At 40.7% G+C, this 26,151-nt stretch overlaps 2 long non-coding RNA genes and 1 pseudogene across 2 annotated transcripts in view; 2 read left to right on the top strand and 1 right to left on the bottom strand.

Annotated features, from left to right (window-relative positions):
- The window catches only part of LOC105374591 (uncharacterized), a 62,688-nt gene extending 53,399 nt beyond the window's left edge, over nt 1-9,289 (top strand). Inside the window, exons 4-5 of the long non-coding RNA XR_001739454.2 lie at nt 8,065-8,146; nt 8,718-9,289. This is a non-coding gene — a long non-coding RNA (uncharacterized LOC105374591). The remainder of the gene's footprint in view (nt 1-8,064; nt 8,147-8,717) is intronic.
- PPIAP62 (peptidylprolyl isomerase A pseudogene 62) lies at nt 11,462-12,143 on the top strand (annotated as a pseudogene).
- LOC105374592 (uncharacterized) lies at nt 13,791-25,178 on the bottom strand. The gene is made up of 3 exons (XR_940074.3): nt 25,117-25,178; nt 23,524-23,629; nt 13,791-13,864 (listed from the first exon to the last, which is right to left on the bottom strand). It is a non-coding gene; the product is annotated as an uncharacterized LOC105374592 (long non-coding RNA).
- Between the last annotated feature and the right edge of the window lie 973 nt (nt 25,179-26,151).

The following is a 26,151-nucleotide window of genomic DNA, read 5'->3' as shown; positions in this document are numbered from 1 at the left end:
TTGAGCCCAGGAGGTGGAGGTTGCAATAAGCCAAGATCAGGCCACTGCAAGCTCTGCCTCCCGGGTTCACTCCAGCCTCGGCAACAGAGCGAGACTCCATCTCAAAAAAAGAGGCCGGATAGAAGCCCAGCTGATGTGATTGAAATATGGTTTTCATTCTAGATTTATTTTGATCCTGTGCTCATTTTTTTCTTTGCAGGAGGAAAAAGAGGAAAGGCATAAAACCCCTCTTGGCACTATGTGTATTATATTTAGTCCATGGCCAAAGAGAGTTTTATGGGAAAGTTTGCTTGTGCCAGCAAAGCATTTTCTTTTCCTCCATCCATAGTTTTAAAAACAAAAACAAAAACATTAACTAAAACAAAGTCTGCCACCTCCTCCAAAAAAAAAAAAAAAAAAAGAAAAAGAAGAAAACCCACAGAAGTACTTGCACTAATATGAAACTTTTCATAGTTCAGTCTTTCCCAAAAATTAATGCATAGGACTGATTGCAGTTATGAAACATTGAAAACTCTGGCTTTTCAGTAACTTAGTGTCCTGTTCAGACATCCTTGGAAGAAAGCCAAACGGGACTGAAATAATCTTCTGCAAAGCTAAAAGATGATTATCTCCTTTGGCTTTACTATTTGACTCTCTAAATATCTAGCTTTCAAAAAAGCTAGAATAAACCAGTTTAGATGGTGACAGATTTTTCCTTCTTCTTAAAGTTATGGTAAATTATGTTCATATATTCACATACAGTCTTATATTTGAGATTAACTGCAGCCTTGGTAGATGGTTATTTTAATGGTGCAGAGGGAGCTCTGCTGCCCTTGGATGACTTCCCTATCTACTATCTAAAATCTGAGAGTTTGTACTGGAGTTTTGCCTTTTAACAAGGTTTTCCTGGGATTAAATGCAATATTCTCAAAGGTTAATGCTAATTATTGTTACCTCTGCATGAATGGCTTTACCAGGCATTCTCTCCAGGGCTACTGTTTGTTTTTTTCTTCTTCTTCTTCTTCTTCTTCTTCCTCTTCCTCTTCCCCTTCCCCTTCCCCCTCCCCCTCCCCCTCCCCCTCCCCCTCCCCTTCCCCTTCCCCTTCTTCTTCTTCTTCTTCTTCTTTCTTCCTTCCTCTTCCTCTTCCTCTTCCTCTTCCTCTTCTTCTTCTTCTTCTTCTTCTTCTTCTTCGTCTTCATTTATTTTTGCTTCCATCTCCCTTTCCTGGTACCCAGGGCTAGCTTTGACAGTAAGAAGTTACACATTCTGCTGGGAGCCAGCCTCAACTTAGGGGATCACAAAGGAAGCAAGAAGCAGCTGGGAAGAAGTACAGAGCCTGTGACACAACTAGAAAATAGGCACAATGGCAGTCTGCTCTACACGTACCCTGCAAAACACACCTGTGTTTTATGCTGCCTTTCTTCTTCCAACAGGATAAATTGGTTTTTCTCAGCAAGGATAACGTTGGGGTAAGGAAAGAAAACCATGTTTCGGAAGGGAAAAGCCTGGGAAAATGAGAGACAAGGAAACATCTCTTGGCTGGAGACACACACTCAGGGTTCCTTAAGACTGGGTAGTCATCTTGCATTGCCTTCACAGAGAGAGCCAAAGGCTTCCAAAGATTGTGTTGAGCCTCATCCTGGCTCAGCTGCTTAGCTCACCCTGGGCCTGGTACATCAGGCAAAGGCACAACTCAACTTCTGCCACTGTGAGTGTTTTTACTATACATCACTCTCTCTCTCAATTTTTTTTTTTTTTTTTTTTTTTTTTTTTTTTTTTTTTTTTGAGACGGAGTCTTGCACTGTCGCCCAGGCTGGAGTGCAGTGGCGCGATCTTGGCTCACTGCAAGCTCCGCCTCCTGGGTTCATACCATTCTCCTGCCTCAGCCTCCCGAGTAGCTGGGACTACAGGCGCCCGCCACCACACCCAGATAATTTTTTGTATTTTTAGTAGATATGGGGTTTCACCGCGTTAGCCAGGATGGTCTCGATCTCCTGACCTCGGGATTGCCCGCCTTGGCCTCCCAAAGTGCTGGGATGACAGGAATGAGCCACCGCACCCAGCCCACTCTCTCTCAACTTCTGTGAAACAATTGATGTCCTGTAAGAAACAATTGATTTCTAATTGGATCTTTCCTAGAAAACCAAGTTTACAAGGTTTTTATATACTGGCTGGGCACGGTGGCTCACACCTGTAATCCCAGCACTTTGGGAGACCTACGTGGGTGGATCACTTGAGGTCAGGAGTTTGAGACCAGCCTGGCCAACATGGTGAAACCTCATCTCTACTAAACATACAATAATTAGTTGGGTGTGGTGGTAGGTGCCTGTAATCCCAGCTACTCGGGAGGCTGAGGCAGGAGAATTGCTTGAACCGGGGAGGCAGAGGTTGCAGTGAGTGGATCACACAACTGCACTTCAGCCTGGGTGACAGAGCAAGACTCTGTCTCAAAAAAAAAAAAAAAAAAAGATTTTTGTATACTAAGCATAAGAGTCTTTGGTTAAATATAAAATACATTTGGTCTTCTGAAACCAAATATTAATTAAGAAACATCTCAAGGTTTTCTTTTTGAAAAACTGAAGTCACGAGTCTTTTTTTTTTTTTTTTTAAACAGTCTTGCTCTGTTAACCAGGCTGGATTGCAATGATACAAACTCAGCTCACAGCCACCTCTGCTTCCCAAACTGAAGTAATCCTCCCTCCTTGGCCTCCTGAGTAGCTGGGACTACAGGTGTGTGCCACCATGCCCAGCTAATGTTTAAATTTTTTGTAGAGATGAGGTCTCATTATGTTACTCAGGCTGGTCTCAAACTCCTGGGCTCAAGCAATCCTCCCACCTCACCTTTCCAAAGTGCTGGGATTTCAGGTGTGAACCACCTTGCCCAGCCAAAGTCATAATACTTGAAAGGCTGAATTATGAACATAGAGTTGATATACTTTGCATGTATGTTTGAAAACTCTTTGGATCCATATAAAATAGATGATCACAGTGCTTTGTGCATAGCAGGTGTTCTCTTGAGATTAATTAAGCACGTTTATTGACTCCATTCCCTCTTACTGTGCTACATGTTTCTGAAGGGAAGTGCGACCATTACCCAGAGCTCAATTACACTGTCGGCTTTACCAGAGACACAAACTCCCAAAAGGGTCAAATCAAATTAGAAAGAATAGAAAGGATTATGTGAATTTTTAATGTTTTGGATTTTTTTAATTTGGTTTAGTTTGGTATTTTGTTTTTTGTTGTTGTTGTTTTGTTTTGTTTTTAATCCTCTCCTCTACCCCTCACAGCCTACATGCGTGTGGAAACACTTCAGGTGAGTGAGGGCTGGATTTTTTTGTCTCTACTATTTTATGACCTCACTGCCTGATCTCCTTTGGGTTCAGCCTGATTTCTTCAAGTGCTTGAAGCTATGATCACTTTTTTCTTTTTTGGAATGGAGTCTCACTCTGTCATGTAGGCTGGAGTACAGTTGCATGATCTCGGCTCACTACAACTTCCGCCTCCCGGGTTCAAGCAGTTATCCTGCCTCAGCCTCCTGGTAGCTGGGATTACAGGTGTGTGCCACCACACCCAACTAATTTTTGTATTTTTATTAGATACGGGGTTTCACCATGTTGGCCAGGCTGGTCTTGAACTCCTGACCTCAGATGATCTGCCCGCCTTGGCCTCCCAAAGTGCTGGGATTATAGGCGTGAGCCACTGCGCCCAGGCAATGATCACTTTTTAAAAAACCAATTAACTCTTTTTAAAAATACTAAAATTCTTAAACTTTCTTACTCATTCTAAAGAAGCAAAATCTAAACTAAGGCCTGAATAATTTTTTAGAAGGTCCCAGTTTCTGTGAGGAGTAAGTATGGCCCTGACCTTCACTTAAGGTGGCAGAGAATGTGTCTTTTTCCTCTGCCTTCCCTGGAAGCATTCTTCTATCCCCTGCCTTGACCCAGCATTGCAAGGTAAAAGCTGACACCAGAAGGGGAGACAAGAGGGCAAGGGAAAAACAGAAAGCAAACACACTAATGCATCTCACTATATGCATGAACATCACACGGCCACATGTGGCTTTTTATTTCTGAGAATTTAATCTCAGAACTAATCAGGGATGCCCATCCTCAACATCCTCATCTTGGAATGGGAAAGAAGATTCCTTCATTTCCAAGTAGATCCCTAGCGAACTGTCCTGAAAAGTTTGGCAAAGTACAACTCCTTTCCGGGAACCATTTGAAAATACGATATCTTGATACAAAGCAAAGTTGTTTAGATTACGTTGTGATAAAGCTAAAGTAGGGCTCAATCTCCATTTAGGCCAGGAGTCACCAAATTGTTCTGTAAAGGGTCATTTCATCTTCACTGATGAACTCTACCTTTGCAGTGTGAAAGCAGCCATGGACAATATATAAATGAATGGGCATAGCTGAGTCCCTAAATAAAACTTTACCTACAAAGATTACGAAGATGGAAGGGGGCTTGGGTTTAGCCTACAGGCCATAATTTACTGACTCCTGATTTAGACTATAATGATAATGATAAATATAATAATAATAATAAATATAACGAGTATTTCCCTCATTTAATTATTACAATGAACTCCCATGAAGTAAATCCTCATATAAAGGGATGATATTGAAAATAATTAACAATTGATATGACCAATCAGAACACACAAAGCATAGATGTATACGGTTGAAAATCAAACTGCTGTGATCACCCCACGTTATAGATTTGGGAACTGGGCTTAGAATAGGGGCGTAAATTAACCTAGATATACAAACAGTACACATAGTCGAGCTGGGCGTTTCATGCATGCAGTCTAACTCTAGAGCCCACATTCTCAGCCACCTGATACATGCTGCTGTAGGCCAGAGAGACTTTGCTCCAGATGCTTGTGTAAGTCCCTACCAGCTGTTCAATCACAAGCATGTCTTGCTAAGAGCAATCTGTTCACACTATTTCCAAAAATATTCAAAACACAGGTGAGCCAAGATAGTTTAGAAATATTGGGCAACCCACTTGGGTCCCCTTCCACACTGTAGAAGCTTTGTTCTTTCGCTCTTTGCAATAAATCTTGCTGCTGCTCACTCTTAAAAAAAAAAAAAAGAAAAAAAGAAATATTTCAGTATGTTAATACTTACATTGAAAATAAATTGACAGAAAATGTGCGTTCCTTTGGCTTTCTCTAACTTGAGTTTTTCTCCTTCTCTATCCCTAATGGCTTATTCCCGCACTTTCTTCTCTGCTCAGGTCTCTGCTCAAATGTCTTACTGTGAGGGCTTCCTGACTACCAACAGATTAATAAAATAGCACCCCCTGCCCTGCCCTTCTTATCTCTCTTTCTCTCTTGCCTTGCTTTATTTTTCTCCATAGCATGTAACACCATCGTTATACATCAGGTCCTTGAATAATTTCTTTCAATGTCATTTCATTGCAACATGAATGAGAAAAAAAAATGTTTCCCAGCCTGGGTCATTGTATGCAGTTTGCAGGTTCTCCCCATGTCTGTGTGGGTTTTCTCCAGGTACTCTGGTTTCCTCTCACATCCCAAAGATGTGCATGTTAGGTTCATTGATATGTTTAAATTGTCCCAGTCTGAGTGAGCGTGTGTGTGTGTGTGTGTGTGTGTGTGTGTGTGTGTGTGTTTGCTGCGAAAGAATGAGGTCCTGTCCAAGGCTGGTTCCCACCAGTGTCCTGAGCTGCCATGATGGACTCCAGCCACCAGCAACCCTGAACTGGAATAACTGAGTAAATGTCTTACTTGTTCTTATTCTTTCTTAAGTGTATGTATAGCTCACATTTATTTCAATCTTTAACATCAGAAGTGTTTTGGTCCTTATGTAAAAGTTTGGGAAGAGCACGGTGGCTCACGCCTAAAATTGCAGCACTTTGAGAGGCTGAGGAGGGAGGATCGCTTGAGCCTAGAAGTTTGAGACCAGCCTGGGCAACACAGTGAGACACCATCTCTATTTTGTAAACATTTATTTTTATATAAATAAAAAATGAAAGTTTGGTGATGTTTTTGTAACCAGAAATATGCCATGGGAACTTAACTGATGTACACTCCTGTTTACATCAATTAGTCTATAGTAAAATTGATTTTGTTATATATCATTTTGCTTAAGTTGCAGTTTCTAAGAACTCGTGGACACATTAAGTGAAGACTTACTGTACCACGTTTTGAATTTATTTATTGTTTGCCTCCACTAACGAGAATATGAGCTCCACAAAGTTAAGAGCTTTGTCTTGTCAGTTACTATATCCTTTAGGACCCGGAACAGCAATTGGTAAATGACTGAATGAATATTGTTTACAGTAGAAAGGCCATATGGTACGCTAATTAAAACACTGAATTTAGAATCAGAGGTGGGTTGGAATCAATCCCAGCTCTGCCACTGACTAGTTGTGTGATCTTGGACAGGTTAACCACTTGAAGCTTCAGAGACTGCAGTGAGGCCCTGGCATAGGAACATGCTCATCACGGGCATGTTCACAGAGCAAAGCAGCCAGCGTGACTGCAGCACAGAGTAGGAAGGGTGTGGAAGGAGATGAGAGAGGTGAGTGTTGAGAGGCAGATTGTACAGGTCCTGTGGGCTATTTTAAGGACTGCGAGTTTTTCTCAGAGTGACAGGAGAAGCCAGTTGGCGAATGTCAAGCAGGTAAATAAAGTGATTTGTTTTGACTAGTATAAAGACTGCATAAGGGTAAGGGCAGAGGCAGAGAGATTAGGAGGCCATTGCAATAATCTGGGTGAGAGATAATGGTGGCTTGGGCCAGGCTGGCAGCAGTGGAGGTGTTGAAAGACTGTCAGATTCAGGATGTATTTTGAAGACAGCCAACAAAATTTGCTGATGGTTTGAGTGTAGAATGGAGAAGAGAAGAGTCAACAATGATGCCAAAGTTTTGGGGGAGGATTGTGGGAGAAGCAGGTGTGGTGTGGGGGAATCAGGAATTTGGTTTTGGTTAAGTTTGAGAAGCCTATTCAATTCTCAAAATTCTCAGCCTGCTTGCTATTAGATGTTCAAGTAGAAATGTCAAGTTGGCAGTTGGATAGAAGATTCTGGCATTTATGGAAGAGGTACAGGGTAGAGATATAAACTTTAATATTGTCAACAGATAGATCAGAAGTTTCTATCCTGGCTGCTCTTAAAAATCTAAGCACCCAAGGAGCTTTTTCTTAAAAAAAAGAAAAAAGAAAAAGAGAGAGAGAGAGAGAAAAGCCTGAGCAACAACCCAGATCAATGGAATCAGAATTTATCTGGGTAGGGACTACCAGAATTTTCAACAAATTACTGAGTGTTTAGACTCAGGAAGATGAAGAGAAACTATAAAGGAATTAGAAAAGAAACAGCCATAAAATAGGAGGAAACCAGATGAGCAAGATGTCCCCAAACTCAAGTGCAAAGAGTATTTCAAGAAGACAGTAATAAACTGTGTCAGATGCTACTGATGGGCCAAGTAAGATGAGGACTAAAAAATGATTACCAAACTTAGGAAAATGTAAATAACTGTTTTCCTTGACAACTCCTCTTGGGATAGGGTCAAGAGAGATTTTACATTGATGGGCGTTATCAAGTTTATTTATACTAAAAATAATATCTCAGCCTGGTGTGGTGGCTCATGCCTATAATCTCAGCACTTTGGGAGGCCAAGGTGGGCAGATCACTTGAGTCCAGCAGTTTGAGACCAGCTTGGGCAACATGGTGAAGCCCTGTCACTACAAAAATACAAAAATTAGCTGGGCGTGATGGTGCACACCTGTAGTCCCAGCTACTTGGGAGGCTGAGTTGGGAGGATCACCTGAGCCCCGGGGTGTTGAGGCTGCAGTGAGCTGAGATAAGACCACTGCACTCCAGCCTGGATGAGAAAGCAAGACCCTGTCTCAATAATAATAATAATAATAATAATAATAGTAACATCTTGTAATTTAAAATAGCATCTTTGGACAACAGAGCTCATTAGAAGTTGTTTGTCCTGCTGTGTCTTGTGACAGCATCACCTATAACTCAATATTCAGGACAAGGTCAGTTGGTGATTTGGTCCCAGCCTGAGTCTCCTGCAAATAACATGGTCCTGCATTTTCTTCTCTGAGCTAGAATGAAGAGGGAATCTTTGAACTTGATTACCAAGGAGATGGGATGATAAATCCATCCAGCCACTCCAAGAAGCCAAGTTAAGGTAAGGTAGAAGAGGACTACATATAAATAGGACAAACCAAAGCAGACACTAAGAAAACAGAATCCCTCCTTCTTTTTATTTGAGAAAATGCCCTGTCTCTTCCCTGGAACAATAACAAACAAATGCTTAACTTATATAATGCTTTAAAGATTAGCAAACTTGAGGCCAAGTGTGGTGGCTCACACCTATAATCCCAGCACTTTCAGAGACCTAGGTAGAAGGATCACTTGAGTTCAGGAGTTCAAGACCAGCCTGGGCAACATAGTGAGAACCCCATCTCTACAATGAATTTTTTTTTTAATTAGCTGAGCATGGTGGCACGCACCTATAGTCCCAGATACTCGGGAGGCTGAGGCAGGAGGACCAGTTGAGCCTGGGAGGTTGAGGCTGCAGTGAGCCATGATCATGCCACCACACTCAGAGACCCAGTCTCTTAAAAAAAAAAAATTAACCAACTTGATTTTGCCAGACCCTGCAACAAAGGGAATTCAAAGACTTGAGCTGTCCATTGAGAAAGATCTGCTGCTTAAGTTCAAGTTCATGTCCTCCAGATGTTTCCCCCATCCTCCAGGGTCACTGCCTTCTTGTCGAACTTGAATCTGCCTTCAATTTATTAATGGATCTGGTTGGTGGCATCCACTGTTTACCAAGAGCCTTTCTACAATCCACACTACTGGACTAACGCTTTCCCCTACTTCACTCTACTCTCAAGGGATGGAAGCACTGATGAAGAGCACAGACAGAATCAAGTGTACATGCAGAACATATGGTAACCATATAAAGGGATGATGTCAAAATTCTCAGCCTCCTTGCTCTTCAGTATCTTCTTCCCCTTTACCTCGTCTGGATGGTGTATAATGAAGAGGCACCTAGCGGTGCCTCCTGCCTCTAGAGTAAGATTCAAGGGAGGATATATAGGCTCCTCCATAGGGTCAAGAGGTTTTCAAAGGCTGTGTTGTCCCATCCAGCTACCAAAACAAGAGACAAAATTGTGACCTGGAGTTGAAACTCTAGTGAGTGATAAAGAGGGGAAGTTTCCTAAAGCAGAAGTTCTCAGTCTGGGGGCTATCTGTGTGTTGTGTACTGAATTTTGTGTCCTCCCAAAATTCAGACGTTGAAGCCCTAGTCCCCATTGTGGTTGTATTTGGAGGTGGGGCTTTGGGAGATGATTAGAATTAGATTAGTTCATGAAGGTGAAGCCCTTCTGATGGGATTAGTACCCATACAAGAAGAGACACAAGATCCCTCTACCAATTATGCTAGCTCTCCTCTCTTTCTCTCTCCACCGTCTGGGATACTTCAGGAAGATGTCTGTCTGCAAACCAGGAAGAGGTCCCTCAAGCACTAAATCTGCTGGCACCTTGATCTTGGGCTTCCCAGCCTTTAGGACTGTGAGAAATCTTTGCTGTTTAAGCAATCCCATCTATGGTATTTTGTTACAGCAGCCCAAGCTGACTAAGACACTGTGGATACCTTGCATGCCTGGGAGGCTTGCACATCCTTGGACATTATAAGTAATATTTTTCTGAAAAGGGGTCATAACTCTCATCGGAGAGTCAAAAGACCAAGTCTATGACTCCCAAAAGATTATATACCACTGACGGAGTGGCCCTTGTGTTCTTATCCTGTAGAACCACAAGAAACTTGAGGATTGGGGATCCTAGTCCTGGCCTTCATTCCGTACTTGCATGACCAACATCTAAGAGTACTAACAAATATGATGAAATAAGAAAGATTCAAGAGGATACACATATTTTCTTTGTCCAATGTTGCTAATATCCACCTGAGAGTTTATTATCCATAATAAAATGTGGAATCCAGTCTGTACACCATGATCCTTAGCATGCACTTGTACTGTTTCCTATAAGCTTTTAATAATATCAACCTTAGATTCCAAGGAACCTAAATCACTGGGCCTAACACTACCACTGATTTTTTCCCCACTTCCCCTCCAGTATTATGGTGTATTCCAAAGCCAAATATAATTTTTTGGTGGCTCGTTGTGATTAATTTCTGTTCCACTGAGCCTATCCATAGAACAGGCAATGCAACTTTGGAAAAAACGGTAGTCTAACTTATTTTTGCATCATATAGACTGTACAGCAAAGGTGAAGGGACCAATATGAGTATTACTGGGGCACCGAGGGAAAACATTTTCAGAAGAGATCAAGAAAAATGTGACTCAACATGAATGAACCCTGAAAACATTATGCTAAGTGAAAGAAAGCAAACGTGAAAGACCATACGTTGTATGATTCCATTTACATGAAATGTCAAGAATAGGCAAATCCAAAGAAACTAAAGTAGATGAGTGATTGCCAGGGGATAAGGGAAGAGAGAAAGGGGAGTCACTGCTAATGGACATGGGCTCTCTTTTTGGGGTAATGAAAATGTTTTGAAATTAGATAGTGGTAGTGGTGTACAACTCTGTGACTGTACCAAAAACCACTGAGTTGTACAATTTTAAAGGCTGAATTTTATCATATATGAAATATATCTCAGTTTTTAAAAAGAAGAAAAAAGATGTTATTCAAAAAGGATTCCTCACAGTTATAGCTCAGTCACTTATTTGGCAATTAATTTGGGGGCACAGTCTTGAGATAGTTCTATGTATAGGTCCATGCTGCTTAAACTCCCTGACTCCACCTCAGCCAATGGATATTATCTTACTGGCTTTTCTGTTTACAAAGCTCTCTCTCTCTCTCTCTATATATATATATATAGTTATATGTATATGTTTACAAAACTATACACACACACACACACACACACACATATATATATATACTTTTTAAAATTCAGAAAATACAAGAAGATAAAGCTGGGCACAGTGGTATGTGTCTATAGTCCCAGCTACTTGGGAGGCTGATACAGGAGGACTGCTTGAGTCCAGGGGTTCCAGCTTGGGTGACATCATATTTTTAAATAACAAACAACAACCAAAAAAACCCACAAAAACAAAAACAAAACAAAACAAAAAGTCCAAGAGGATATAAGGAATAAAACAACTTGAAAAACCACCACCCAAAGAAGACTACTATTAACATTTTGGTTTATATTTTTTCAGGTTATTTTTCTATGCATACATAACAGGGAAAATACTTTTGAACTATATTATTGTGATTTTCTCTGTTGCTCTTCCTTGTATGTTACCACATCTCATTCTATATGAAGCATCCTTTTTTCTTATAGCAGAAATGCAGAGTGGAAAAAGAGCCAATATCCAGATTTTACTTCAAGAATAAGATTTCTGAGCAAACATTAAGAGTTGTGAGTGCTTTGCAGATGCTGCTGCCCAAAGTCCCCTGGCACCAGCCAACTGAGTTCTTTGACACTGTGGTCAATGGCAAGTCCTTGGGCTGCGTCTCCTTTGAGCTGTTTGCAGACAAATTTCCAAAGACAGCAGAAACTTTTGTGCTCTGAGTACTAGAGAGAAAGGATTTGGTTATAAGTGTTTCTGCTTTCACGGAATTATTCCAGGGTTTCTGTGCCAGGGTGGTGACTTCACACGCCCTAATGGCACTGGCAGCAAGTCCATCTACAGGAGAAATTTGATGATGAGAACTTCCTCCTGAAACATACAGGTCCTAGCCTCTTGTCCATGGCAACTGCTGGACCCAATATAAATGGTTCCCAGTTTTTAATCTACACTGCCAAGACTGAGTGGTTGGATGGCAACATGTGGTCTTGGAAAGGTAAAGGAGGGCATAAATTTCATGGAAGCCAGGGAGCACTTTGGGTCCAGGAATGGCAAGACCAGAAAGAAGATCACCATTACTGACTATGGACAACTCTAATAAAGTTGACCTGTGTTTTATCATAGCCACCAGACCATTCTTTCTGTAGCTCAGGAGAGCACCCCTCCACCCCATTTGCTTGTAAAATCCTATAATCTTTGTGCTGTCACTGCAGTTCTTTGAGTTTCATATTTATCTTATTCCCTTCCATGTCTAGCTGGATTACAGAGTTAAGTTTATGATTATGATATAAAAACTAACAAAAAAAACAAATTCTGAAAGCTAAACTTTGAGAACAGAGAAAATAATGTTTAAAATGACTTTATTTCCCATTAACATAAGAAGAGGCAGAACCAATCAACTAAATCATAGTTTTACTAAAAGCCAGGAGTAGAGAAATATCAAGATGTAGGAAGTGTACTGTGCCAGGAGGTTGTAGCTTTTGGCTTATGGGATTATGGTGAAAAAGAAGGAAATCCAGAAAGGGGAACCAGATAGACACATATATTCTGACTGCCACTTTCTGGACTGAATACCTGAAAGGGGAAATCATGTTGGAAAGATTAAGGGGTACGTTAAAAGGTAAAGGAGTCTTTGCCTCACTCCCTAAAAGAAATCCGGGAGGAAACTGGATCTCAGGAAGATTCCAGGCCAGAATGAGGGTAGGGTTAGGAGTGACAAAGCAACAGTGGGAGAGGCTAGACAGATGAGGCTGAATAGCAATCCTAAACTGGCTCCCAGTTTACTTGGGAGACTGAGGCAGTGTGGTAGAAGGGACCCCTCCAGGGGAATCTAAAATTAGGCCAGAGTGGGCGCGATGGCTCATGCCTGTAATCCCAGCACTTTGGAAGGCCGAGGAGGGCAGATCACTTGAGGTCAGGAGTTTGAGACCAGCCTGGTCAACATGGTGAAACCCCATCCCTATTAAAAATACAAAATTAGACAGGTGGGGTGGCAGGTGCCTGTAATCCCAGCCACTTGGAAGGCTGAGGCAGGAGAATCGCTTGAGCCCAAGAGGTGGACGTTGCAGTGAGCCGAGACTGTGCCATTACACTCCAGCCTGGGCGACAGAGCAAGACTCCGTCTCAAAAAATAAAAAATAAAGATTAGCCCAGCCTCAGTTGGGAAGCAGCTAGTGCACATCGACCAGATTAGCCTCCCACCGTGAAAACCAGCTCTGCCCCCACCCCCACCCCTCAACAACCCCCACCTCCCTGACTCCAAGGCCAGGAGGACTGGTAAGTACCCCCAGGCATAGAAGCCAGCTTGGGAAAGAGGAGGAGGAGGGGCGAGAGAGCCTTGTTAGGGAATTGAATTTTGAATTGACTGAATATTTACCCAATAGAGATCTTTTAAATCAAAATAGACTGTTAAATCAACAGAGATTATTTAATCTAGAGGAGACTCAGATAACTTTAATTAGAAGGGTGGGAGAAGATTAGATCAGTTAAGAAAAATAAAGAACCCATATGTCCTTGCTTCTGAGTAGATTAGTGAATAGTCTGTGTTCCCACTACTGATCATATAAATATTTTTAGCAAAATGAAATAAATGAAATGAATAAAAATTAATAAGTATTTTTAGCATAAACACTTTTGTAACTTGTTTTTCACTTTACAATATTGTTTCATTTTTTTTGTTTGTGTATATTGTCTTTCTCTCAACTAGGCTATAAATATCTGGAGGACTAGGACTGTGTTTTACCTTTCTTTGAATCTATGTCAGTGCTTGACCACAAAGCAGACACTGCATATCACCGCCATATAAGACATTTCTAGTTCTTTCTCTATACACATGCAATTAAATGACAGCAACAACAGTAAAACAAAAACAAAAACAAAACAAAACAAGAAAACCCTGAAGCAAGCAGAAGATAGTTTAGTAGAAAGGGCCAATGCAACAGGTACCCAGTTCTCATCCTGATCAGTCACTGACTTTAGGCAAGCCACCACTTCTCCTCTTGTTGTCTCATTTTCTCCACCTGTAAATTGGAAATAGTGTCCTCACTACCTTACTTGCATTTCATCGAACTCAAGGAAAAGTACACAAAATCACTTAGAAGAGAATGCAAAATTATCAAATACATCGTTTAACCCCAATATAATTTCACTAGTGACCCCTGACTAGAATGCTGACGTGCCTGAGACCTGGCTTTTTTTTTGCGGCTTCCTTCCTTGCACAATCTTCCTTCCAAATCTGCTACTACAGCATCCCCCACTCCCACCCAACTACCACCATCAGCTCTCTCTGACTGCCCCAGCCAGACCCTAATCAATGATCTCTCAGTAAATACTTGTTTTTAGTAAACAACTGAAAGAGTTTTATTTAGTTGACATGTGACTACTTCCTGGACACTGATGGAAAAATGTTATTTAAAGACAGGAAACCAATAACGGCATTTTACATTCAAACAGTGATTAAAGATCTTTATTCTTTTCCACTTCACCAATTAGCCGGGCTTGCAGGTCATGATAGAAAACAAACAAATAAAAATAGGGATTTTCTCTACACACCAGTAGTCTTCATTTATGATGTAAGCAAGCTGTGTAGCTGGGAGACCACCAGGTAAACACTGCACCTTGGTAACTGACCAGGCGCACTCTCTGTCATGTTCTGTGACATGTGGAAAATGGTGCTAAAGCCTCAATAAAACCCAGAGCCTGGCTGGGTGTGATGGCTTATGCCTGTAATCACAGCACTTTGAGAGGCCAAGGCAGGGATCACTTGAGCCCAGGAGTTCAAGACCAGCCTGGACAACATAGTGAGACCTTGTCTCTACTAGAAATCAGAAAAATTAGTTGGGTATGGTGTAGTGCACACTTGTGGTCCCAGCTACTCAGGAGGCTGAGGCAGGAGAATCACTTGAGCCCACGAGGTCGAGACTGCAGTGAGCCGAGATCACACCACTGTACTCCAGCCTGGGTAACAAAGCAAGACCTTGTCTCAAAAAGGAAAAAGAAACAAACAAAAAAGACTGCCTCCAGTGGTTTTACAGTCTAAAGCAAGCATGATTGCTTTTGTTGTTTTCAATCAAATTCCAATTTAAGTATCATTTATTGTTTAAATCAATCTCTGAGAAGCATCTTCTTAAAAAATAGAAATACTTTTTAATGTTGAGCAATTATTCATTCACTTAGGAAACATTAAATGAGTATTTATCATGTACCAAGATCTGTGCTAGACACTGGGATACCCAAATAAACCAAGTTCAGATTAGAAGGGCAAATAGATATGTCAAACCAATCTGTTTAGTTGTTTTTTTGTTTTTTTTTGTTTTTGTTTTTTTGAGACAGAGTCTTGCTCTGTTGCCCAGACTGGAGTGCAGTGGTGAGATCTCGGCTCACTGCAACCTCCACTCCTGGGTTCAAGCGATTTTCCTGCCTCAGTCTCCCAAGTAGCTGGGATTACAGGCACGTACCACCACGCCCAGCTAACTTTTTGTATTTTCAGCAGAGATGGGATTTTGCCATGTTGCCCAGGCTGGTCTCAAACTCCTGAGCTCAGGCAATCCACCTGCCTTGGCCTCCGGAAGTGTTAGGATTACAGGCCTGAGCTACCGCCATGTGGCCACAAACCAGTCATTGATCTTCACTGTAGTAAATGCGGTAATAGATGTTCACTGGCACAGAGGAAGGAGGGAGTAATTCAGCTTGAGTGCTGCAGGAAAGGTTTCATGGAGGAGGCCCTTGAGTGAGATGTTTTCATTAATTCACTCTTTCCAAAAATATTTACTGCACTCTCTGTGTCAGGTACTGTTCTAGGTACTAGGAGTATAGTAGTGAACAAAACATGAAAATCCCTGCTCTCATGAAATTTATGATCTTGTGTAAACAATAAAGAAGATAAGTGGCCAGGTGCGGTGGCTCACGCCTGTAATCCCAGCACTTTGGGAGGCTGAGACAGGAGGATGGCTTCAGCCCAGGAGTTCAAGACTAGCCTGGGCAACATGGCAAAACCCCAACTCTACAAAAAAATACAAAAAAAAAAATAGCCAGGCGTGATGAAGCAGGCCTGTAATCCCAGCTACTTGGGAGGCTGAGGTAGGAGAATCACCTGAGCCCACAAAATTGAGGCTGCAGTGAGACCCTGAAAAAAAAAAAAGTAGGGTGCGGTGGCTCACACCTGTAATCCCAGCACTTTGGGAGGCTGAGATGGGTGGATCACCTGAGGTCAGAAGTTCAAGACCAGCCTGGCTAACATAGTGAAACCCTGTCTCTACTAAAACTACAAAAAATTAGCTGAGCCTGGTGGCAGCTGCCTGTAATCCCAGCTACTAGGGAGGCTGAGGCAGGAGACTTGCTTGAACCCGGGAGGCAGAGGTTGCAGTAAGCCAAGATCGCGCCATTGTACTCCAGCTTGGGCAACAAGAGTGAAACTCTGTCTCAAAAAAAGAAAAAGAAAAGAAATATTAGGTATAAAGTCACTAGTACATGATATGCACTCAATAAATGGTAGATATCATTATTAATTTGATGTGTCATAGAAAGAGAACTAGAGGACAACTTTAAGGAAGTGAGATTTATAGTCTAAACTGGGACCTACAATCATAGGATGTAGCAATAACTTAAACAAGAGAAGAGGATAAATGGGGCGTTCACTGAAAGGGGATGGAGGATGACTTGAAGGGCCCCAAAAGTATTGGCAAGATATCTCTTGTGATAGGTACTATATAAATGCACACATGGATGATGAGATGTATTGATATGTTAATTTTGCAAAACGTGTGGAAACTCATTGGGGTTGCAGGCATGATCCATTTGCAGCCCATGAACTAAGATCTTAAATCATTAAACAGAAAGATACTTCAGAGCAAATGAATCATGTTTCTGTGATATAAGAGCTTCTTTCATTATACTGAAGCTGGCCAGGCACGGTGGCTCACACCTATAATCCTAACACTTTGGGAAGCTGAGGCAAGGGCAGATCGCTTGAGCCCAGGAGTTTGAGACCAGCCCGGGCAACATGGCAAAACCCTATCTCTACAGAAAATAGAAAAATTAGCTAGGAATGGTGGTGCACGCCTGTAGTCCCAGCTACTCAGGAGGCTGAGGTTAGAAGACTGCTTGAGCCCTGGATGTCAAGACTGCAGCGAGCCATGATCAGGCCATTGCACTCTAGCCTCGGTGACAGAGAGAGACCCTGTCCACCCCCACCAAAAAAAGTATATGCAAGCTTATTAAACCAGAGATCATCATGGTGTACTGATGTTTGGCTTAAAATATTCCTACCCTGCTCAGAATCACCAGGCAGGACATAGGTTGTACAGTAAAACGAACTACCAATTTTCACCCCTAAACTGTGTCTCCACCAGTGGGCCGAAGGTTAAGTTTACTGTTGTTCTGTGGCTTACTGGCTGGGTGATCTTAGCCCAAGCTCTTAACTTTATAGAGCCTCAGTCTTTTCTTCTATAAAACGAAATTAATAATATATTTACTCATTTGACAGCTGGAGACTAAATTATTTACCTTTTGGTTCCTTTCAGTTATTTTATTTATTTATTTATTTTTTTTTTGAGATGGAGTTTCACTCTTGTCTCCCAGGCTGGAACGCAATGGCGCAATCTCGGCTCACTGCAACCTCTGCCACCCGGGTTCAAGCAATTCTCTTGCTTCAGCCTACCGAGTAGCTGGGATTATAGGCATGCACCACCACGCCTGGCTAATTTTGTATTTTTAGTAGATACGGGGTTTCTGCATGTTAGTAAAGCTGGTCTCGAACTCCCAACCTCAGGTGATCCACCTGCCTTGGCTTCCCAAAGTGCTGGGATTAAAGGCATGAGCCACCACGCCCGGCCCCTTTCAGTTAATTTTAATTAAGAAAATAAACAAAACCCTGCCCAGTGACCTGGCCTGCATGATCCTCTAATTGCCATTATTTTAAAATAAAATTGTTTTTTTTTTCAAGACTGTGTCTTGTTCTGTCTCCCAGGCTGGAGTGCAGTTGCATGAACATGGCTCACAGCAGCCTCAACTTCCTGGGCTCAAGCAATCCTCCTGCCTCACCCTCCATAGTAGCTGGGACCATAGGCAGGTGTCACCACACCCAGGTAATAATTTTTATTTTTTGTAGAGACGGGGGTTCTCGCCATGTTGTCCAGGCTGTTCTTAAACTCTTGGCCTCAAGCAATCCTTTTCCATCTCAAAGTGCTGGGGTTACAGGTGTGAGTGACCATGCCCCACGTATTTTATTATATTATAGATGTAAGATATACTCATCTAGAAAATATGGAAAATACTGAAAAGAAGAAGTATGGTCACATGGAGTGGAGAATCAACTCCATACTCCAAGAAACTCACTATTAAAATTTTGAAGTATTTGATCTTTGCCTTTCTATAATTATTTTATTTATCTTTTATTTTATTTTATTTTATTTAGACAGAGCCTTGCTCTGTCACCCAGGCTGAAGTGCAGTGGCACAATCCTGTCTCACTGCAACGTCCGCCTCCCAGGTTCAAGTGATCCTCCTGCCTCAGCCTCCTCAGTAGCTGGGACTACAGTCACCCACCACCATGCTGAGCTAATTTTTGTATTTTTAGCAGAGACAAGGTTTCTCCATGTTGGCCAGCCTGGTCTCAAACTCCTGACCTCAGGTGATCTGCCCACCTTGGCCACCCAAAATGCTGGGATTACAGGTATGAGCCACCATGCCCGGCCTTCTTTCTATAATTATTACATTTTAAGTTTCCAAAGTTTTTGCCACCACAAACTTTCAGCTCTCAGCCTGCCATAAAAATAACCTGAAAACAGTAGAATATATTAAAATTCTATATCACATATTCTTCAGTACACAAAACAAAAACCTCATAGTCCACCAACAATATATGATTAAGATTCTTGAGGATGTGCTTCAGGAATGTTCACTGAATACTTAAAAATAAAAATCAGCATTCCATTTTTAAAGAACAGCTCGCTGTGACTCCTCTGCAGTTTTTGCTTTATGGTCCCTTCTGATTCTTAGCTGTAATTAATTTACTGGAAAGATTTTACGGGACTGAATTAACAATGCAAACACATGGTCATACGATAAAACCGTGTTTTGTTATTTTTCATGTCTCCATATTTTTTAAATCATAACTATTTTTCAAAAAGGCTATCGGATAAGGATCAAATTATGTTACAAGGCAGCTATAAAACCCCTCTTTAACAACAATAAAAACATTCTCAAGAATCATCTGACAGCCTGCAAATGAACTTTGAGGAATGTTTGACAAAATAAAAATTCTAGTCCAGCAAAATATTGTCCCTTAAATATTGTTAAAAAATGGCCGGGTGTGGTGGCTCACACCTGTAATCTCAGCACTTTGGGAGGCCGAGGTGGGTGGATCATCTGAGGTCCAGAGTTTGAGACCAGCCTGACCAACATGGAGAAACCCCATCTCTATTAAAAATACAAAAATTAGCTGGGCATGGTGGTGCATGCCTGTAATCCCAGCTACTCAGTAGGCTGAAGCAAGAGAATTGCTTGAACCCAGGAGACAGAGGTTGCAGTGAGCCAAGATTGCACCATTGTAATCCAGCCTGGGCAACAAGAGCAAAACTCCATCTCAAAAACAAAAAACACTGTTATAAAGGAACTAGAGCTATAATAGTGAATTAACAAACGACTGTTGAGGGCCAGATATGGTGGCTCACGCCTGTAATCCCAGCATTCTGGGTGGCTGAGGCAGGCAGATTACCTGAGGTCAGGAGTTTGAGACCAGCCTGGCCAACATGGTGAAACCCAATCTCTACTAAAAATACAAAAATTAGCTGGGCGTGGTGGCTTACGCCTGTAATCCCAGCTACATGAGAGGCTGAGGCACGAGAATCGCTTGAACCCAGGAGGCAGAGGTTACAGTGAGCTGAGATTGCACTACTGCACTCCAGCCTGGGCAACAGAGTGAGACTCTGTCTCAAAAGGAAAAAAAAAAAAAAAAGCGCTATTGAGCATTTCCCATCTGTTGTGTTTTCCCCCTCACAACATTTTTGTTGTGATGGGGAAAAGTACACCTAGTTAATGATTTCTGTGCCTGTTGTTTTGCCCATATTCTCCAGAAAACCCTTCCAAGACCATTCTTTGGAATCAGGTTTTACATGTGCACTTGCAAGTGAAAGTTTGTCAATTGTCACCGGCCGGGAACCCTTCTGTGAAAGGCAGGTTGAGAGAAAAGAGCACTGGACTAGGGTCTTGGGTCTTAATTCTGACCCTGTCACTTTTTAGCTTAGTGTCTCTTGGCAATTCACTTAGACTAAATGAGCTTTCATTTTCTTATCTGTAAAATGAAGATAATAATTGACTTGCCTACCTTGCCGAGTTGTATGGAACAAATAATGCAAGTGAAAAGTGCTTTACAAACTGTAAAGTGCTAAGTAACTACCAAGTACTTTTATTTTTACTTTTTTTTTGAGATGGAGTCTCACTCCGTCGCCCAGGCTGGATTGCAGTGGCGTGATCTCGGCTCATTGCAACCTCCACCTCCTGGGTTCAAGCGATTCTCATGCTTCAGCCTCCCAAGTAGCTGGAATTACAGGCACACACCACCATGCCTGACTAATTTTTGTATTTTTAGTGGAGACTGGGTTTCACAATGTTGGCCAGGATGGTCTCAAACTTCTGACCTCAGGTGATCTGCCCGCCTCGGCCTCCCAAAGTGCTGAGATTACAGGCGTGAGGCACCACACCCAGCCTATTTTTACTTTTTTATTGTAGCAAAATATTTTTAACATAAAATTCACCATTTTAGCCATTTTTAGGCATACAGTCCTGTGGTATTAAGTACTGTCACATTGTGGTGCAACCATCACCAGTATCCATCTCTATAGCTTTTTCATCTTCCCAAACTGTAAATTCATTAAACAATAACTTCCTATTTCTCCCTCTTCCTATCCCCTGGAAACCACCATTCTACTTTCTGTCTCTAAGAATTTGACTGCTCTAGGTACTTCATATAAGTGGACTCATACAATATTTGTCCTTTTGTGGCTGGCTTATTTCACTTAGCAAAATATCTTCACAGTTCACCCATGTTATAGCATATGTCAGAATATCCTTTCTCTTTAAGGCTGAAAAATATTCCATTAACTATATATACCATACTTTGTCCATCCATCTGTCAATGGATATTTGGATTGTTTTCCCCTTTTGACTATTGTGAATAATGCTGCTATGAACATTGATGTACCAATATCTGTTCAAGTCACTACTTTCAATTGTTTTGGGTACATACCCAGTAGTCAAATTTCTGGATCATATGGTAATTCCATGATTAATTTTTTTGAGAAACTGCCATACTCTTTTCCACAACAGTTGCACCATTTTACAATCCCATCAGTGCATCCCACAAGGTGTCCTATTTTTCCAAATTCTTGCCAACACTTGTTATTTTCTGGTTTCAATTTTGTGTTTGTTTTAATAACAACCATCCTAATAGTTGTGAAGTAGCATCTCATTGTAATTTTGACTTGTATTTCTCTAATAATTAGTAATATTGAATGTCTTTTCATGTGCTTATTGGCCATCGGTTTTTCTTCTTGGAGAAATTTCTATTAAGACCTTTGCCTATTTTTAAATTGAGTTGGTTTTGTTGTTGTTGAGCTGTAGGTATTCTTTATATATTATGGATATTAATCCATTATCTGACAGATGATTTGCAAATATTTTCTCCCATTACATGTGTTGCCAAGTATTTTTATTTTTATTCATGTACCAGATCCTAAAAAAATTATACTCAACCCTTTACTATGGAGCTTTACGAGCTAAGAATACCCCTTGAACAGGCTTCCTCTATGGTATCACATAAACATGATACCACAGTTTAAAGTCCAGTTAAGAAATCATTGGCAGCTGGGTGCTGTGGTTCCTGCCTGTAATCCCAGCACTTTGGGAGGCTGAGGCAGGAGGATCACTTGAGGTCAGGAGTTTGAGAACAGCCTGGCCAACATGGTGAAACCCTGTCTCTACTAAAAATACAAAAATTAGCCAGGCATAGTGGTGCACGCCTGTAGTCCTAGCTACTTAGGAGGCTGAGGCACGAGAAACAGAATCGCTTGAACCTGGGAGGCAGAGGTTGCAGTGAGCTGAGATCGTGCACTCCAGCCTTGGCAATAGAAGGAGGCTCTGTCTAAAAAAAAAAAAAGAAAGAAAGAAAAGAAAAGAAATCATTGGCAAAATTTCTTCTTCAGGGTTAAATAATAAGAAAAAAAATTTCATACTTCTCCTATTTACAATTTGTCTCAGTAAGATATTTAATTTAGTAGCAAACTAGAAAGTGGTTTTTCTCTACCTCCTTACATAAAAATTATGTAGATTTACAGATTTGACAACAGAAAGCTAAAGCTGAATATGCCCAAGGGGAGAATGTAGAGACATTTTTAAAAAATAACATTTCCTGCTTGTGCCTATCCATTCATCATATACAAATGAAAAGCCAACAAGCCATGTCCTAGCAGAGAATAAATGCCCTCTCCAGTGGCAAACTGTTAAAGTGCATAAGTGGAAATAACATTTAAAAAAATATTGAGTACCTACAGGTCTTTCATTCATTCCTTTATTTTACAAACATGATGGGCTTTGTTAGGCCCTGGGGACACAAAAATGAGTAGGCAGTTCCTGCCTTCAAGGAGCTCTCACTCTGGAGGGAAAACTGACTAAATAGTTGCAGCACAATATGGTGAGTACCAAGGAGCTCTAATGAATGTTTCCATCATGGATAATTCACAGCTAGGTGCTGTGAAGATTACCTCTGAGTATCATGCCAATTGCTAACATGTAGGGGCTTATAAAATCCATTATGAATATAAAACCTCATAAAATATTAATTACTGTTATTACAGTCTCAGTACTCTTTTAGTACTAAGAGACAAGGTACATAAACCACCTAAGATTTTGTGTCAAAAATTTTTTAAATTTGTTTTCATTATAAAAGTAATGCATTCTTTTTATTTTCTATTTAAAATAAAAATTAACTAATGCAAATTTAAATTTTTTTTCTTTTTTTCTTTTTTTTTTTGGCTTTGAGACAGGCTGTCACTCTGTCGCCCAGGCTGAAGTGCAGTGGCGCAATCAGCTCACTGCAAACTCAACCTCTCAGGCTCAAGAGATTCTCCCAAGTAGCTGGAACTACAGGTGTGCACCACCACACCTGGCTAGTTTTTGTATTTGTTGTAGAGATGGGGTTTCACCATTTTGCCCAGGCTGGTCTTGAACTTCTGAGCTGAAGTGATTCTCCTGCCTTGGCCTCCCAAAGTACTCTTATTGCAGAAGGTGTAAACAATACAGAATTCCCCAGAGGCAACCATCATTAACAGTTTGCTATATTCTATGTCATCTAAGATGCCACTGACTATAAGACGCATTCTAAATTCAAGGGTGCTGAAAAGTAGAGAACAAAAAGGACTTTTGTAAGCATTTGAAGTCTTGAATCTGTATGAGCAAAAAGTAGAGGCAATGAGGTAGGCCTGAGCAAACTGGACAGGGGAATCAGCAAGAAAAGAGGATTCTATTCATTTTCATGCTAATGTTTTGTACTTCTAGGCGTACTTCTAAGTATATCAAACTATGAGGTAACCATTCCAAAAAGCTCTGGATCTTAGAAGATACTGTTTATATTCCCAAAGTTGTACTTAGTACCTTATGAGTAGGTTATAGAATGTGAACCTCACCTTTTGGAAGATTTATTCTGTATTACTCAAATGAATCTTTGCTTGGAAGAAGATAAATCTCTAGTTTCTGAAACATTGGTCAATATATATATTGGTCCCACGTGGGCTGAAAAGATATGAAAGAGCATAAGGCTTTCTTTTCATTCATTGTCCAATATTTATATTCTCTACTAAAATCCCAGGGGTTTTAAGGAATAAAAAATGTTGGGATGCAACCTGTCCAACTATTAAGTCTCTTTGTTTCAGAAGCATTATGTATAGCATAGTATAACAGGAAGACCTGGCGGGCCACGGTGGCTCATGCCTGTAATCCCAGCACTTTGGGAGGCCAAGGCCGGAGGATCACCAGGTCAAGAGATTGAGACCATCCTGGCCAACATGGTGAAACCCTGTCTCTACGAAAAATACAAAAATTTGCTGGGCGTGGTGTCATGAGCCTGTAGTCCCAGCTACTTGGGAGGCTGAGGCAGGATAATCGCTTGAACCCGGGAGGCAAAGGTTGTAGTGAGCCGAGATTTTGCCACTGCACTCCACTCCTGGCGACAGTGAGACTCGCTCTCAAAAAAAAAAAAAAATTAATGCCTGTAATCCGGAGGCCGAGAAGGGCCGACCACGAGGTCAGGAAATCGAGACCATCCTGGCTAACACAGTGAAACCCCGTCTCTACTAAAAACACGAAAAATTAGCCGGCCTGGTGGTGGGCGCCTGTAGTCTCAGCTACTCGAAAGGCTGAGGCAGGAGAATGGCGTGAACCTGGGAGGCGGAGCTTGCAGTGAGCTGGGATCGTGCCACTGCACTCCAGCCTGGGCGACAGAGCGAGACTCCGTCTCAAAAAAAAAAAAAAAAAAACAAAAAAAAACAGGAAGACCTGTGTCTGGAGAGACCTAGGTTCTACTCTTATTTCTACCACTAATTAGATGTGTAATTTTAGATAAATCACTTAACCTCTCTAGACCTCTGTTTCTCATCTCTAATTAATCTAGTCCGTAGGTTATAATGAAGATCAAAAGGAATCACATGTATGGAAGCACTTCAAAAAATGTAGCACATGCATATTATACGGTATTATTAATACTTATATTTATTATTGGTCTGCAATGCCACTCTTGGACTTCAGCAAGAGGGACGCCTGCCCTGAGCCTTGTACTTCAGAAGGCCCTGCATAGCACAAACACAAATGCCCAAAAATTGATTAAATATCTGTCAATATGTTCCTAGGAGACATGGCCTCAACTCTGACAATAGCAATGACATTCTTTGAAGTGATTCAGTGATTATATATAATATTTTCTATATATGCCTCAAAATAGGTCAATTTGTTTAAACACATATCAAACATAATTTCATAGCCACTCTTGGTTAACAATGGAGATGTCATTTAAATGCTGTTAGAGCAGTTAGTTTAACCTAAACAAGATAGTGAGCTGCGCTAGGACAGTTGTGTGAAACAATAGAGGATCTTCAAAAAAAACTAAGGAATTGTGGTCTATGGTGGGAAATACTTTTGATTTTGGGCTAACCACAGCTATTTGGTATGGACTATTGCTTGCTATTAATAATGTTAGCAAAAGCTTACAAAATATGCAGACTTACCTAAGTTTGCCTAGTTCGCTTTTTAAATCATTTAAAATACTTTTTATTGCATTTGGCTGTTCTATGAAATGAAAGAAAAACATAAAAGAACAAAAGAAAAGCACAATTTTTAAAAAGTAAAGTACTTTTTAAATTTTGAAAGAAAATGATTTTTCTAAATTGAAAGATACTAAATATAGCATATACAATGAAATATTCCACAAAATAGAAACAAGAAAACAAAAATGATTGCATGATTATAAAGTTCACATACAAATCTGTATATATGTATTATATTTACATATTATTTTCTATTCTTTCCAGGTAGCAGTATAGTCTCCCTAAAGAGAGATTTGAACAAATTGAACCACATATTGTTCTCTCTTTTTCTTTATGATATCCCAGCATTGGAAAAATTGAAAGAACAACTTAATACTATATAAATAGATATTGCTTTAAGGGCTGGCAAAAAAAGATCACAATATAAGTAATAGAATTAATGTGATAAAATTAAAAATTTATAATATTTTCTATGATAATTATCATTATTACAGTCCTATTACAATGTCTGAATATGATATGCAAAATTCATTGTTCATTTCCAAATGTAAGTATTGATTTAGACATTCTATTAACAATGCCTGTTGCTACTGCCTCCACAGAATAAAATATTTCCAATTCCATTGAAATTCATTTTTAAATCAAGAAATAACCATAAAAATGGGCAACTAGCAGCCCTCGGGGCTACTTTGTCTATTAGCCATTCTTTTATTTCTTTACTTTCTTTATAAACTGGCTTTTACTTCAAAAAAAAATTCATTTTGAAAACATCTAATATTAAGGATTATTTTTTGGAGACAAGATCTCACTATGCTGCCCAGAGTGGCCTCAAACTCATGGACTCAAGTGATCCTCTCACCTCAGTCTCTGAGTAGCTGAGATTATGGGCACACACCACTGTGCCCAGCTTCAGTATTTTTTCTTTCTTTCTTTCTTTCATTTTTTAGATGGAGTCTTGCTCTGTCACTCAGGCTAGAGTGCAGTGGTGCAATCTCG

Source organism: Homo sapiens, chromosome 2 (genome assembly GCF_000001405.40).
Source record: "Homo sapiens chromosome 2, GRCh38.p14 Primary Assembly".
In the NCBI taxonomy this organism is placed as follows: domain Eukaryota; kingdom Metazoa; phylum Chordata; class Mammalia; order Primates; family Hominidae; genus Homo; species Homo sapiens.
Note: the sequence above shows the minus strand (reverse complement) of the source record. Positions and strands in the feature narration are given on the sequence as shown.